This window comes from Homo sapiens, chromosome 1 (assembly GCF_000001405.40).
Source record: "Homo sapiens chromosome 1, GRCh38.p14 Primary Assembly".
In the NCBI taxonomy this organism is placed as follows: Eukaryota; Metazoa; Chordata; class Mammalia; order Primates; family Hominidae; genus Homo; species Homo sapiens.
This window is the reverse complement of record NC_000001.11, coordinates 112,880,777-112,895,804: the sequence shown is the minus strand read 5'-3', so window position 1 is coordinate 112,895,804 and position 15,028 is coordinate 112,880,777. Positions and strand designations below refer to the sequence as shown.

Here is a 15,028-nt window from a genome sequence, read left to right as displayed (position 1 = left end):
TTCATGGTCTCGCTGGCTTCAGGAGTGAAGTTAAAGACCTTCGCAGTGAGTGTTACAGCTCATAAAGGCAGTCCAGATCAAGAGTGAGCAGCAGCAAGATTTATTGCAAAGAGCAAAAGTACAAAGCTTCCACAGTACAGAAGGTGACCCGAGCGAGTTGCCACTGCTGGTTTGGGCAGCCTGCTTTTATTCCCTTATCTGGCCCCACCCACATCCTGCTGATTGGTCCGTTTTGACAGGGTGCTGATTGGTGAGTTTACAATCCCTGAGCTAGACACAGAGTGCTGACTGGTGTATTTACAATCCTCTAGCTAGACGTAAAAGTTCTCCAAGTCCCCACTAGATTAGCTAGACACAGAGCACTGATTGGTGCGTTTACAAACCTTGAGCTAGACACAGGGTGCAGAGTGTGTTTACAAACCTTGAGCTAGACATAGAGTGCTGATTGGTGCATTTACAATCCTTTAGCTAGACATAAAAGTTCTCCAAGTCCCCACCAGATTAGCTAGATACAGAGTGCTGATTGGTGCATTTACAAATCTTGAGCTAGACACAGAGCACTGACTGGTGTCTAAAGGATTTACAATCCTTTAGCTAGACACAAAATTTCTCCAAGTCCCCACCAGATTAGCTAGATACAGAGTGCTGATTGGTGCATCCACAAACCCCGAGATAGACACAGAGTGCTAATTGGTGCATATACAATCCTCCAGCTGGACATAAAAGTTCTCCAGCTGGCTTTGCCTAGTAGATCCCCCCGCCAGGGCCGCAGGCCGAGGTGCCCGCCAGTCCTGCACCACAGACCTGCACTCCTCAGCCCTTGGGCTGTCGATGGGAAGGGGCGCCGCAGCGCAGCGGCGCAGGTCCCGAGCCCTGCCCCACAAGGAGGTGGCTGAGACCCGGCAAGAATTTGAGGCGGCGCGGGCAGGCTGGCAGTGCTGGGGGACCCGGCGCCTCTTCCACAGCTGCTTGCCTGGGTGCTAAGCCCCTCACTGCCGGGGCCGGCGGGCCAGTCTGAGTGCAGGGCCTGCCGAGCCCACACCCACGAAGAACTCGCGCTGGCCCGCGAGCGCCACACGCAGCCCCGGTTCCTGCCCGTGCCTCTCCCTCCACACCTCCCCGCAAGCAGAGGGAGCCGGCTCCAGCCTCGGCCAGCTCAGAGAGGGGCTCCCACGGTGCGGCAGCGGGCTGAAGGGCTCCTCAAGCGTGGCCAGAGTGGGCGCTGAGGCTGAGGAGGCGCCAAGAGCCAGCAAGGACTGCCAGCATGCTGTCACCTCTCGGGAGTTTTTAAAAATGAATCTTAATGTCAAAGTTACACTGATGCAAAACTAGAATTTGATCTTTTTTTTGAGACCGTCTCACTCTGTCACCCAGGCTGGAGTGCAGTGGTGTGAACACGGCTCATTGCAGTCTGGACTTCTGGGCTCATGTGATCCTCCCACCTCAGCCCCCAAAGTAGCTGAGACTACAGGCACATGCCACCATGCTAAAACTGCCCTTTGCAAGATTACGACTGAGACGGTGAAAGAGATCTAACTAACCGACTACATCTTGCTTCCAATCTTTAAGCTGTTGTTGTTCCTTCATGGGCATAGGCTAAACTAACTTTGGAAGAAACATATAGTTTACAGTTTAAAACAAAACAGCCCTTTCTCAAAACAAACCTCTTTCTTGCCTGGGACTAGACCGCCCTTGTAGGACTAACAAGTTAGCCACAAGATTAGAAATTATGGCTTAGGAGTCTTGCAGCTGGAGGCTACAAGATTCTGACCCTCCCTAAACTGCTCCTAAGATCAGTGCTTGAGATATTTTGCAGACCCTGCACTTGACTGATAAACTGGCACCACGGAGTAGATAAACTGGCTCAACTGATCTTGCAGCCCCCACCCAGAAAATGACTCTTAGCACAAGAGGATAGCTTCAACTTCCCATGATTTCAGCTGTGACTCAACCAATCAACACTCTCAACTCACTGGCCTTCCCCCACCCACCAAATTATCCTCAAAAACTCTGATCACCAAATGCTCCAGGAGGCTGATTTGAATAATAATAAAACTCCAGTCTCTAGCACAGCTGCCTCTGCATGAATTACCCTTTCTCTATTGCAATTCCCCTGTTTTGATAAATTAGCTATATCTAAGCAACCGGCAAGGTGAACCCATCAGGCCATTAAAATGCCTGCCTAATTTTTGTATTTTTTGTAGAGACGAGGTTTCGCCAAGTTTGGCTGGCTGGTCTCGAACCCCTGAGCTCTGGCAATCTGCCAGCCAGGGTCTTCCAAAGTGCTAAGATTACAGTACCACCACACCCAGACACATTTGGCCTCTTCTTTTAAAACAATAGGGTTTCCTTGGAGTAGATAAGAGACTGAAAGGGATTATCTTCGAAGTGATCTGTGTGAGGGGGAAAAAAAAGCTTCTGTGTTTTATCAAGAAAATTTCATGTGCTTCATGTTGTCTTGTATTAGGTCTTTTTTTTTTTTTTTTTTTTTTTAATTGGAGATGGAGTTTCACTCTTCTTGCCCAGGATGGAGTGCAATGGTGCAATCTCGGCTCACTGCAACCTCTGCCTCCCAGGTTCAAGCAATTCTCCTGCCTCAGCTGCCTGAGTAGCTGGGATTACAGGCATGTGCCACCTTGCCTGACTAATTTTCTATTTGTAGTAGAGATGGGGTTTCTCCATGTTGGTCAGGCTGATCTTGAACTCTGGACCTCAGGTGATCTGCCCACCTTGGCCTCCCAAAGTGCTGGGGTTACAGTCGTGAGCTACCGTGCCCAGCCTGTGTTAGGTCTTTTGATTATTTAAGAACTTAGTCTTCTCAATATTAAAACTGCTAATTTTTTTAAAACTAATTTTCTGTACTTGCCTTTGAAATGTTTAGTCACTTTGGCATTTCTTCATAATTATCTGTGATCCTGTTAAATCAAGTGTTGTTTTGTTTTGTTTTTGGAGACAGAACCTCGCTGTTGCCCAGGCTGGAGTGCAGTGGCATGATCTTGGCTCATTGCAACCTCTGCCTCCCAGGTTCTAGCGATTCTCCCACCTCAGCTGGGACTACAGGTGCACACCAACATGCTTGGCTAATTTTTTGTATTTTAGTAAAGATGGGGTTTCACCATGTTGCCCAGTCTGGTCTCGAACTGCTGAGCTCAGGCAGTTCGCCCACCTTGGCCTCCCAAAGTACTAGGATTACAGGTGTGAACCACCGTGCCTGGCCTAAATCAAGTGTTTTCAACCTTTGATATTTTCAACAAACTTCCCAAAATCAAATTCTAAATTGTTTTTTTCTTTTGTTTTTGATATGGCTTCTCACTCTGTTGCCCAGGTTGGAGTGCAGTGCCATGATCTCAGCTCACTGTAACCTCAGTCTCCTGGGTTCAAGTGATTCTCCTGCCTCAGCCTTCCGAGTAGCTGGGATTACAGGCACACAGCACCATGCCCAGCTAATTTTTGTATTTTTAGTACAGAATGGAGTTTCTCCATGTTGGCCAGGCTGGTCTTGAACTTCTGAGCTCAAGCAATCAGCCAGCCTAGGCCTCCCAAAGTTCTGGGATTACAGGCATGAGCCACTGTGCCTGGCTAAATTGTTTTTTTCTTCACTTTAACTTTGGGATTTTCCAGACAGGTTTCTTGAATGTATCAAAATAATTTGTATAAAAAGAGAGATATTAAACTGATTAGGCTTATTTTAGATGTTAAATTATATGAGGAGAATTGTCAAATGATAAGTGCTGCTAAAACCTTATATTTGTAATTGATATGAGTATTCCAGAAATTATATGAAATTTCTAAAAATCTAACATGTCCTGGTATAATAGTATCAGTCATAATTTTGATTATTATGTTAAAATGTTGCATGTCACATAAATAATGAAATTTCTTTTTCTTTTCTTTTCTTTTTTTTTGAGACAGCATTTCACTCTTGTTGCCCAGGCTGGAGTGCAATGGTGTGATCTCGGCTCACCACAACCTCCACCTCCCAGTTTCAAGTGATTCTCTTGCCTCGGCCTCCTGAGTAGCTGAGATTACAGGCGCCCGCCACCACGCCCGGCTAATTTTGTATTTTTAGTAGAGACGGGGTTTCTCCATGTTAATCAGGCTAGTCTTGAATTACCGACGTCAGGTGATCTGCCACCTTGGCCTCCCAAAGTGCTGGGATTACAGGCATGAGCCACCATGCCCAGCCAATAATGAATTTTCTATGTCAATTGTATTATAATAAACTCATATCAGATTTTTAATGATGGCCATTTTAAGTCTTGTTATCCTCAGACAGTTAACTATTTTACTCTGACACTTTCCTGAAAGCTTTTGCAAACAATTATAATCCTAAAATGTTTCATCTTCAAGGAGATTCATGGATCAATTCTAAGGAAATTGATGGGTTCATGAAACTGCTAACCCAATACTAGGCAGGACAAGAATTAATTACATAGACTGAATAAACTGACAAGGATAATGTTTGTGCCTTTTTGTTTAAAACATTTCTGGTTCTTTAATATTTGTTTTCCAGGCCGGGCGCGGTAACTCGTGCCTGTAATCCCAGTACTTTGGGAGGCAGAGGGGGGGTGTATCACCTGAGGTCAGGACTTCTGAGACCAGCCTGACGAACATGGTGAAACCCCGTCTCTACTAAAGATACAACAATTAGCTGAGCATGGTGGTGGGCGCCTGTAATCCCAGCTACTTGGGAGGCTGTGGTAGGAGAATCACTTGAACCCGGGAGGTGGAGGTTGCAGTGAGCCGAGATTATGCTAATGCACTCCAGCCTGGGTGACAGAGCAAGACTCTGTCTCAAAAAAAAAAAAAAATAAGTGAATAAAATAGAATACTCTCTTCCTTTCTCCGCCGTCATGGTGTGTGCTTGACTCCACTTCTCGCCATGTCTTCTCACAAGACCTTCAGGATTAAGCCATTCCTGGCCAAGAAACAAAAGCAAAATTGTCCCATTCCCCAGTGGATTCAGATGAAAACTGGTAATAAACTCAGGTACAACTCCAAAAGGAGACATTGGAGAAGAACCAAGCTGGATCTATAAGGAATTGCATATAAGACGGCACACATATTGATGCTGTCTGAAGGTCACAATCACGTTACCATATCAAGCTGAAAATGTCACCACTATCTAGACAGTTCGAAATGTTTTCCTCTCTGAATCTGTTATGAACGTGTTGGTTGACTGGGTTCAGTAATAAATATGAGGCCTTTCATTTCAAATAAATAAATAAAATAAAATAAATTTGTTTTCTTTAAGATTTTTTTTTCTTTTTTCTTAAGCTATCTGTAGCTTATAGAAATTTGGTAAAGTATACTTTTGTGAACAAAAATTATAACATTTACTTTTTTTCCCTACCTGATCCCTCCAGAATTATGAAACTATTAGTGAGTATCCTTATGTTTATGGCAATATAATTGTTTGCATAAGTTCAGTAAGAACCTGTTTTCCTGTAGCAAACATAATGGAAACACTGGTTAAATTAACCAAGGCTTTAACTGGAATGTTATATTTTGAGATACAACTAGGCAGCTTTAAGGAACTAAGGCTGGCATTACGGAGCCAATAAAGCACCCGTTGGAACAAAACTGGCCTGGCTTAAAAAGGTTTCTAGTCAGCCGGGCGCAGTGGCTCATGCCTGTAATCCTAGCACTTTGGGAGGCCAAGGTGGGTGGATCACCTGAGGCGAAACCCCGTCTGTCCTAAAAACACAAAAATTAGCCGGGTGTGATGGCGCACACCTGTAATCCCAGCTACTCAGGTGGCTGAGGCAGGAGAATCACTTGAACCCAGGAGGTGGAGGTTGCAGTGAGCCGAGATTGTGCCACTGTACTCCAGCCTGGGTAAGAGAATGAGAATCTGTCTCAGAAAAAAAAAAAAGATTTCTAGTCTTAAGAGCTCTGCAAGTCAAAGCTGGAAGACTTGATACAGGCTTCAGAGAAATTATCATAACAGCTTCTATATGAACAACCTTCATGCCTGTTGCTGTATGAACTACTCAGAAAGTTCACTGGAACACCTGGTGCAAACTGCGAACCAGGAAAATCTGTCAGACTGCCAGTGCCTGACCCCTTTCCAAATGAAAATGCTTTGAGAACATGTGGAGGTTAAAGCAGCTCCATCTTGGATGCTAATTTGCCACTTTGACTTCTGATTAACCCCAGTTATGGGAATGTCATTGAGATTTCTACTTTGTGTAATGTTAGCATGCACTTAACATAAATCCTGCCCTCAGGCAATTTATAGGCTATGATGCACATAGTGTGCTTGCCTTTCCCTAAGGAATCAACTTCAATTGTCCCACACATTCCTCCTGAAGCACATATGCCCTTTCCCTATGGTGTATAAGCCCTGGGTCTGGAGAGTAATATTGACAGTGCAGGGATCCACCATCTTGTGGCTGCCCAAGTCATGACTTCTGTTTGTGAATTCCTATTAAATGTTTATTTCTAAGAAACTGGATTTGTCACCCTCTTTTTTCAGCCTCTGAGCTCTCTTTCTTTTTAAAAATAGGGATGGGGGTCTTGCTATGTTGCCCAGGCTGGTCTCAAACTCCTGGGTTCAAGTGATCCTTCTGCCTCGGCCTCTCAAAGGGCTGGAATTACAGGTGTGAGCCACTGCAACTGGCCAGCCTGTCAGCTCTCTCGGTATTTGTGGGTAGGATTGTATAGACCTGCTTATCATGGAACAGACCAACATACAGAAATCTTCTTTACTGCCCTGTAGACTCAGAGACTGAGTTAATAGTTTGTTCTAGCCATTAACTTTTTGTTTTCTTTTGTTTATTTTCATTGGTTTGGTTCATGGGGACCTTGACTAAGAAACACTCCAAACTTTTGGTATATTGTCCTGACAGTCATTATGGTGGCCTCCCTGTTGTGCTGTATTCTCTCAAGCTCTTAAATGCACGTTTGCAGCCATCAACGATGTACCAGATGGTCTCCCAGTGATTAGAGCAACAAGAAGGATATGAACCACAAAAGGAATATTTCTTCCACAAGCTTGACATTGTGACTAGACAGCCTGGCTCTCCTAGGCAGCCTCCCTGCCCCTTATCCCATCTAGGGCAGCTTAGCTTCTGGAACCTTCCCCAGGAAGCTGAGCAGTTTGTGCTGCTCAGGAAGGGGCAGACACCTTGGGACCCTGCCTCAGGACCTGCTTGCATGGGAGTCAGCCCAGCCCCCTGCCAGAAGGCTCTCTGTGCCTCCTCCCACATCGGGCACGCAGCAACACATATTCTCAGAGGCAGCAAGTATGGTGGGTGCTGGGGTCAGAAAGCCCTGGGTTCAAAGCCTGGTTCTACCACTGACTGGCTGTGAGGCTCTGGGAAGATTACTTAACTCCTCTGGGCCTTAGTTTCTTCCTCTGTAAAATAAGGATAATAATTGTATGAGTCTGGCCAGGCGCGGTGGCTCATGCCTGTAATCCCAGCACTTTGGGAGGCCGAGGTGGGCGGATCACAAGGTCAGGAGATTGAGCCCATCCTGGCCAACATGGTGAAACCCCGTCTCTACTAAAAATACAAAAATTAGCCGGGCATGGTGGTGTGTGCCTGTAGTCCCAGCTACTCAGTAGGCTGAGGCAGGAGAATCACTTGAACCCAGGAGGCGGAGGCTGCAGTGAACCGAGATTGTGCCACTGCACTCCAGCCTGGGTGACAGAGTAAGACTCTGTATCAAAAAAAAAAAAAAAAAAAAAAATTGTATGAGTCAGCAGAGTTCAGTGCAGGACATAGGAACCACTGGAGGTACTTTGAGCAGAAAGTGATTTGAGACAAAGGTTGGGTGATTACAGGGTGCTTGGAGTGTCTGGATGGGGAGAGGAGAGGAAGTAAGGCTGAGTCCAGAGGGTCTGCCACCTCTACCTGAGCAGGAAGCAAGGTATGGCACCTGGAGATTTCCATTGGCACTGCAGAGTTCTGGGTTACACTGGCATGGCTGTGGTCCAGGGAGCAGATGGGGCCTCCACAGCTGTTGCCACCAACTGTCCCCGTATTCCCCGCAGGTGGTAACTGGACACTGGATGCTGCTGCAGGAAAAAGCGTGCATCTGTATGGCCCTGCTTGCCAGAAAGAACCAGCCAAAGCAGCAGGAAGGCGGACTCTGCCTCTTCCACCTTCCAAATCTCATGTGAGGGCCTAAATGTTGGATCCCCGTATGTACCCATTGCTTTCAAAGAAGTCAGGCTGGGAAACGCGGTTTTCACCTATCTGCCTCCAAAGGACAGGAGATTGGTGGGAATGGATCCTGGGTGCTATGCAGCCACATGAGTACTAAGCACACTATGACTGACAGCATCCTGAATGCTTCCCACCACATGATAGTGCCTGCTGAATAAATGTGGGCTATGGTTGATATTATAGCCATTATTGCTACATGCCTGCTATATGGCTGCACTGTGCTAGGCCCTAGGAGAGATCACGGCAAACAAGATGGGTTCCTATCCTGTAGAAATATATAGACTCAAGAGGGAGCATAAAGTAAATTGGTGAATGAAAAAAAAAAACTTCTTCATAAAAGCCAGGAGAGCATAGGGAGCTGTGGGAGCCTGGGGTGGGTGGGCACCCAGGCCCAATCTTGGATGGCAAAGGTGGAGAGGTCAGTGGATGGAGGCTTTCCGGTAGAAGGGAAGTATAGTATGATGCTTGAAGGACAAATAGAAATTGACCAAATTAAGCAGAGGGAAACAAGGGGTATGTGTACCAATGCTCATTCCACCTTGAGGGGGCATACACATACACAAAGCCCTGAATGATGGAGGGAGCATGGCATTTGCCAGGCCAGGAGTAGACAGTTTGGTCTGACCAGTGCATAGAGAGATGGTGAGGGTGGTGGGTAAGAGATGCAGCTGGAGAGGAAAGCAGGGACAGGGGTCAGAGGTCTCAGGGGGCATTGTGTGTCATTTTAAAGAATTTGATTTAGGCCAAGCTCGGTGGCTCATGCTTGTAATCCCAGCACTTTGGGAGGCCGAGGCGGGTGGATCACAAGGTCAGGATTTCGAGACCAGCCTGGCCAACATGGTGAAACCTCGTCTCTACTGAAAATACAAAAATTGGCTGAGCATGGTGGCGGGTGCCCGTAGTGCCATCTACTCGGGAGGCTGAGGCAGGAGAATCGCTTGAACCCAGGAGGTGGAGGTTGCAATGAGCCAAGATCATGCCACTGCATTCCAGCCTGGGTGACAGAGTGAGACTCCTTCTTAAAAAAAAAAAAAAGGGCTCTTGGCTCACTGCAACCTACCAAAGTGCTGGGATTACAGGTGTGAGCCACCACGCCCAGCCCATAGTGGTCTTTTTTAACAAAAGAAAAAATTTGAGCTTTAGTGTGTAGGCAATAGGGAGCCATAGAAGGTTTTTTTGTTTGTTTGTTTGTTGAGACACAGTCTCTCTCTGTCACCCAGGCTGGCGTGCAATGGTGCCATCTCGGCTCACTGCAACCTCTGCCTCCCGGGTTCAAGCTATTCTCCTGCCTCAGCCTCCCACGTAGCTGGGACTACAGGCATGTGCCACCACACCTAAAAATACTAAACATTTTTGTATTTTTAGTAGAGATGGAGTTTCACAATGTTGGCCAGGCTGGTCTGGAACTCCTGACATTAAGTGATCTGCCCACCTTGGCCTCCCAAAGTGCTGGCATTATAGGCGTGAGCCACCATGCCTGGCCCATAGAAGGTATTTAAGCAGGGAGAAGGATCATCATTTTGGTTTCAGAAATATCACTTTGATGGGGTTTGTGCAACAGTTTGTAAGAGGGCAGGACTGCAGACAAGAATTTCATTTATAATTCAGCCTTCTGGGCTGGAAATAATAATGCCCTAGAGAAGGACTGGAAATAGGCAGAGCCAATTCCAGGTAGTTTAGGAGGAGGCTGAGCAGGTCGGGTGTGGGGGTGGGGGCAGGGAGGAACCTGAGTGGCTGCCAGGTTTCGGCAGTGGGCTCACCCAATAGGGCAGGGCCTTCATCGGCTCCTGGCACTTGATACTGGGGCGCTGCCCACCCACAGTCTCCCTGTTCCTGGACTAAGTTCACTGAAAGCCTCTTCCCTCCCAACACCTTTATGGCCTGCATTCAACTCAATCCACCTGTTATGTGGAATAGTAAGCACCTATTGTGTGCCATGAATGAGGCTTCTCCCAGCCTCACCTAAGGGAGTTACCTGGTTGATTGAGAGGTTCTGAAGCAGAGATGGGAGGCTGAGGGTGAGCTGGGAAGAAGGGAAAATCTTACAGACCCTAAGCCCGTGTTCATGCCTTCTCCCCTCTGCCAGTGCTGGAGGAACTTGACTCCTGACTTCTTTTTTTTTGAGATGGAGTCTTGCTCTGTCACCCAGGCTGGAGTGCAGTGGTGCGATTTCGGCTCACTGCAACCTCCACCTCCAGGTTCAAGCAATTCTCCTGCCTTAGTCTCCTGAGTAGCTGGGATTAAAAGCACACGCCACCACGCCCAGCTAATTTTTGTATTTTTAGTAGAGACAAGGTTTCACCATATTGGCCAGGCTGGTCTCAAACTCCTGACCTCAGGTGATCCACCCACCCACCTCAGCCTCCCAAAGTGCTGGGATTGCAGGCGTGAGCCACCATGCCCGGCCAGCTCCTGACTTCTTAAACCCATGATAGGAAAGGGACATCACCAGGGCCTTAGACAAAGCCTCTGGGCTCCTACTGAAACAGGCAGCCAACTCAGCCTCTTTCTGCTCAGAAAGTCGAAAAGTTCTGTGTTTCTACTGCTGTAAGATCCAGGAGTAAAGGAGAGACCCACCTGGCTCATCACCCACAGGACTCACTGCCTGCCATCCAATAAATTCACTCTTTGGAATCAAGGTATCTTCCCAGAGGTCTCCTGTTAACAGGGAGAAATTGATCCATTACTGCCTGGGTGACATTAACTTTTTACCATTTCATTATCACGCTAGTGCAGGCAAATTATAGGACTGCTTTTCTTTTCCTTTTTTTTTTTTTTTTGAGACAGAGTCTTGCTCTGTCACCAGGCTGGAGTACAGTGGCGTGATCTCGGCTCACTGCAACGTCCGCCTCCTGGGTTCAAATGATTCTACTGCCTCAGCCTCCCAAGTAGCTGGGACTACAGGCGTGCACCACCACGCCTGGCTAATTTTTTGTATTTTAGTAGAGACGGGGTTTCACCATGTTGGCCAGGATGGTCTCGATCTCCTGACCTCATGATCCGCCTGCTTCGGCCTCCTAAAGTGCTGGGATTACAGGTGTGAGCCACCACGCCCGGCCAGGACTGCTTTTCTTTCTTTCTTTTTCTTTTTTTTTTTTTGATATGGAGTCTTGCTCTGTTGCTCAGGCTGGAGTGCAGTGGCACAATCTCGGCTTACTGCAACCTCTGCCTCCCGGATTCAAGCGATTCTCCTGCCTCAGCCTCCTGAGTAGCTGGGAGTACAGACGTGTGCCACCACGCCCTGCAATTTTTTTTTTTTTTTTGTATTTTTAGTAGAGATGGGGTTTCACCATGTTGGTCAGGCTGGTCTTGAACTCCTGACCTCATGATCCGCCCGCCTTGGCCTCCCAAAGTGCTGGGATTACAGGCATGAGCGACGACGCCTGGCCCGCTTTTCTTTTTCTTTTCTTTTTTTTTTTTTTTTTGAGACAGAGTCTCGCTCTGTCGCTCAGGCTGGAGTACAGTGTCATGATCTCGGCTCACTGCAAGCTCTGCCTCCCGGGTTCACGCCATTCTCCTGCCTCAGCCTCCCGAGTAGCTGGGACTACAGGCGCCCGCCACCACGCCTGGCTAATTTTTTGTATTTTTTAGTAGACAGGGTTTCACCGTGTTAGCCAGGATGCTCTCGATCTCCTCACCTCGCAATCCGCCCGCCTCGGCCTGCCAGAGTGCTGGAATTACAGGCTTGAGCCACGGCGCCCAGCCTCTTTCTTGACAGAGTCTCACTCTGTCGCTCAGGCTGGAGTACAGTGTCACGATCTCGGCTCACTGCAACCTCCACCTCCCGGGTTCAAGCGATTCTCCTGCCTCAGCCTCTTGAGTGGCTGGGACTACATGTGCGTGCCACCATGCCCGGGTAATTTTTGTATTTTTAGTAGAGACAGGGTTTCACTGTTTTGGCCAGGCTGGAGGACTACTTTTCTTGGAGCCCAGAAAAGATGCCTGCTTTTTAGAAAGGTGAGAGGCCCGGAGCCATCCTGGGTGGGGAGGGGTCTGTGTATTAATAAAGAATATAATAACAGTGTTTACTGTTGATCAGGTGCTTTACCTTCCTAATTTCTAAATCTTCATACTTCTGCTAGGTAATTATTGTCCCCATTTTGTGGATGATGAAACTGAAGTTAAGTAATTTTTGCTCATTAAGGTCACATGGCTACTAGGCAGCTGTACCAAAATTTTGACCAACCCAGGCCTGATAGCAATGCTTTCTTCTTCCTTTTTTTTTTTTTTGAGACAGAGTCTCGCTGTGTCACCCAGGCTGAAGTGCAGTGGCGAGATCTTGGCTCACTGCAAGCTCCGCCTCCTGGGTTCACGCCGTTCTCCTGCCTCAGCTCCCACCTAGCTGGGACTACAGGCGCCTGCCACCACGCCTGGCTAATTTTTTGTATTTTTTTAGTAGAGGCAGGGTTTCACCGTGTTAGCAAGGATGGTCTTCATGGTTCTGGTCTAATCAATCTCCTGACCTCATGATCCGCCTGCCTCAGCCTCCCAAAGTGCTGGGATTACAGGCGTGAGCCACGGTGCCCGGCCAATGCTTTCTTCTTAATGGTTACATGGTCATTAAGCCTTGTTCCCCGAATCTCCGGCTCCCTGCAGGCCCCACTACTCCCTGAAACAATCAGGTCCCAGAAGGATGTTTTTCTCTCATGTTTATCTCATGGTTGTTTGGCTGGGCCCAGGAATGGAAGCTCCTGGGAAGGACAGCGAGTTCAGAGCTAAGGCCAGGCTGCTGGGGGGAAGGTCCTGCAGGGGAAGTCTGGACAGGGACAGAGAAACCAACCAAGACCTTGTGAGAGACCGTGGCTCCAGTGGATCTTTTTTTGTCTTCCCCGTCCCCAGCTAGGGGTCTCCTGCACACTGCAGAGTCCTGCTCTTGTCCCCCGCATGTTTCATAATCTGGAGACTCCTGGGGCTTGCTATTCCCCCTCCCAATTTGGCTCTGAGAAGCCTCAGGACTTCCTCTTCCTGCTCTGGGACACTGTTCAGGGCGTCAGCCTACTGGCCTGAGGCTCCCACTCTAGATTTAATTTCCACCAACCCTAATGCCTCCAAATCCCCGGCTGAGACACCAGGCCAGGGTACAGCCTGCAGAGCTTATTCATGTGAAGCAGCTGTCTGATGACCGTGGTGAGAGTGGGGAGAAGCCTCTAGGCTCATGGCAACTGCCCCTCCCACCCCTAAGCCTGGGCTCCCTGCCACTGCCCCCACAAAGCTTTCAGGGGAAAAAAAGTTCTGGTCTAAACTGAGACCAGTGGTATTTCTTGGGTCACAAGACTGCGGCTGTGCCCCCAGGCAAATCTTGGTGACACCAGGTCCTCCTGGCAAGACTGAACAGGCTCCAGGGCTTGGCCACTGCTGTGGGTCCTAACCTTTGCTAGGCAAAGAGGCATCACTGGAAGCCTTGGAGCTTGGCAGGCCCTTTGAGAAGCCCCCAATGTGCAGTCCTGCTGGACCAGGGTAGGAGGAGTTGCCCACCACCACCAGCAGCAAGGCAAAGGTCCATCTCTCCTCTTTCGGGCCTGGGACTGCCTCTGATGGGGAAACAAGACAGGTTTCAGCCCCAGACCTGAAAGAGCACTGAGCTGGATCTTGCTTCAGGTTCCCTCCTTTTAGCAGCAGCTCCAGCTCTCTGGAACCAGGAACAGGCCCTTCCCCGCCACCCCCTCCCACACTCCACTAGAATCCTGGAGAAACTCACACACTTACACCCACACGCTTATATACAGTCACTCCCAACACAGCACGCACAGACTGCACACGCCCTAATCGACAACAAATATCCTTCCTCCTCTGACACAGACAGCCCTGAGTTACAGAGACATGCGTTCTGCAGGGCCTGAAAGCCAGCTGTGTTTCTAGTTGCCAGAGGAATCTCATGCCGACCTTCTTCAAGAAACCTGGAGAGGCTGGGGTGCAGTGGCTTACGTCTGTAATCCCAGCACTTTGGGAGGCCGAGGCCGGTGGATCATCTGAGGTCAGGAGTTTGAGACCAGCCTGACCAACATGGAGAAACCCCGTCTCTACTAAAAGCAGAAAATTAACCAGGCGTGGTGGCGCATGCCTGTAATCCCAGCTACTCGAGAGGCTAAGGCAGGAGAATCACTTGAACCCGGGAGGTGGAGGTTTCAGTGAGCCGAGATCGCGCCATTGCCCTCCAGCCTGGGCAACAAGAGCGAAATACTGTCTCAAAGAAAGAGAGAGAGAGAGAGAGAGGAGAGGAGAGAGGAGAGAGAGAGAGAGAGAGAGAGGAGAGAAGACAGAAGAGAGGACAGAGAGAGGAGAGAAGAGAGAAGAGAGAGAGAAAGAAAGAGAAAGAAAAAGAAAGAAAGAAAGAAAGAAAGAAAGAAAGAAAGAAAGAAAGAAAGAAAGAAAGAAAGAAAGAAAGAAACCTGGAGAGAGGGACCAGTGTATGGGTACACAGGACGGTCACTCCCTAGAAGGCCTCTTTGTGGTCTTCATTCCACCACCCTCAGCCCAGATATGGCAATGTGGGGTGCCCTCTTGTGGCCAGAGCGGCCCTGCAGCCTCTTGGCAGGATCCCGGCTCCCCTTGGGCATCCAGACATCCCTCCTCCAGGCTGCCCACCCCCTGCATGTCAGGGCTCCACTCTCATTACTTCCAACTGGCCTCCCTCAGTAAAGATGAGAGTAACAAGACTTGTTCACATTGTTGTAAGGATTTCCCCAGAGCCCTGACAAAGAAGCCTGCTGCACTTAGCAGATGTTCACTAAACATGGGCTTCCTTTCTTCTTGTCTCCCTCCCCACTCTGAAGCTGCTTCTTTTAGAAAGTGGAAGAAAACAGAAAAAAAGAAAACCCAAGCTCCCAAGCAAATTACAGTTCTGATCTCCATCA

General features: G+C 48.4%; 1 non-coding gene and 1 pseudogene across 1 annotated transcript, besides 1 other annotated feature; one reads left to right on the top strand and one right to left on the bottom strand.

The window, feature by feature from the left end:
- RPL39P8 (ribosomal protein L39 pseudogene 8) lies at positions 4,834–5,216 on the top strand (annotated as a pseudogene).
- MIR11399 (microRNA 11399) lies at positions 13,676–13,755 on the bottom strand. Its single transcript, NR_162120.1, has one exon. It is a non-coding gene; the product is annotated as a microRNA 11399 (primary transcript).
- Positions 14,039–14,959: an enhancer, noted in NCBI's record as "H3K27ac-H3K4me1 hESC enhancer chr1:113423468-113424388 (GRCh37/hg19 assembly coordinates)". NCBI's record gives its function as "activates a minimal SCP1, AML or CMV promoter by ChIP-STARR-seq in naive H9 embryonic stem cells {active_cell/tissue: H9 hESC(naive)}" and the evidence as "EXISTENCE:reporter gene assay evidence [ECO:0000049][PMID:30033119]".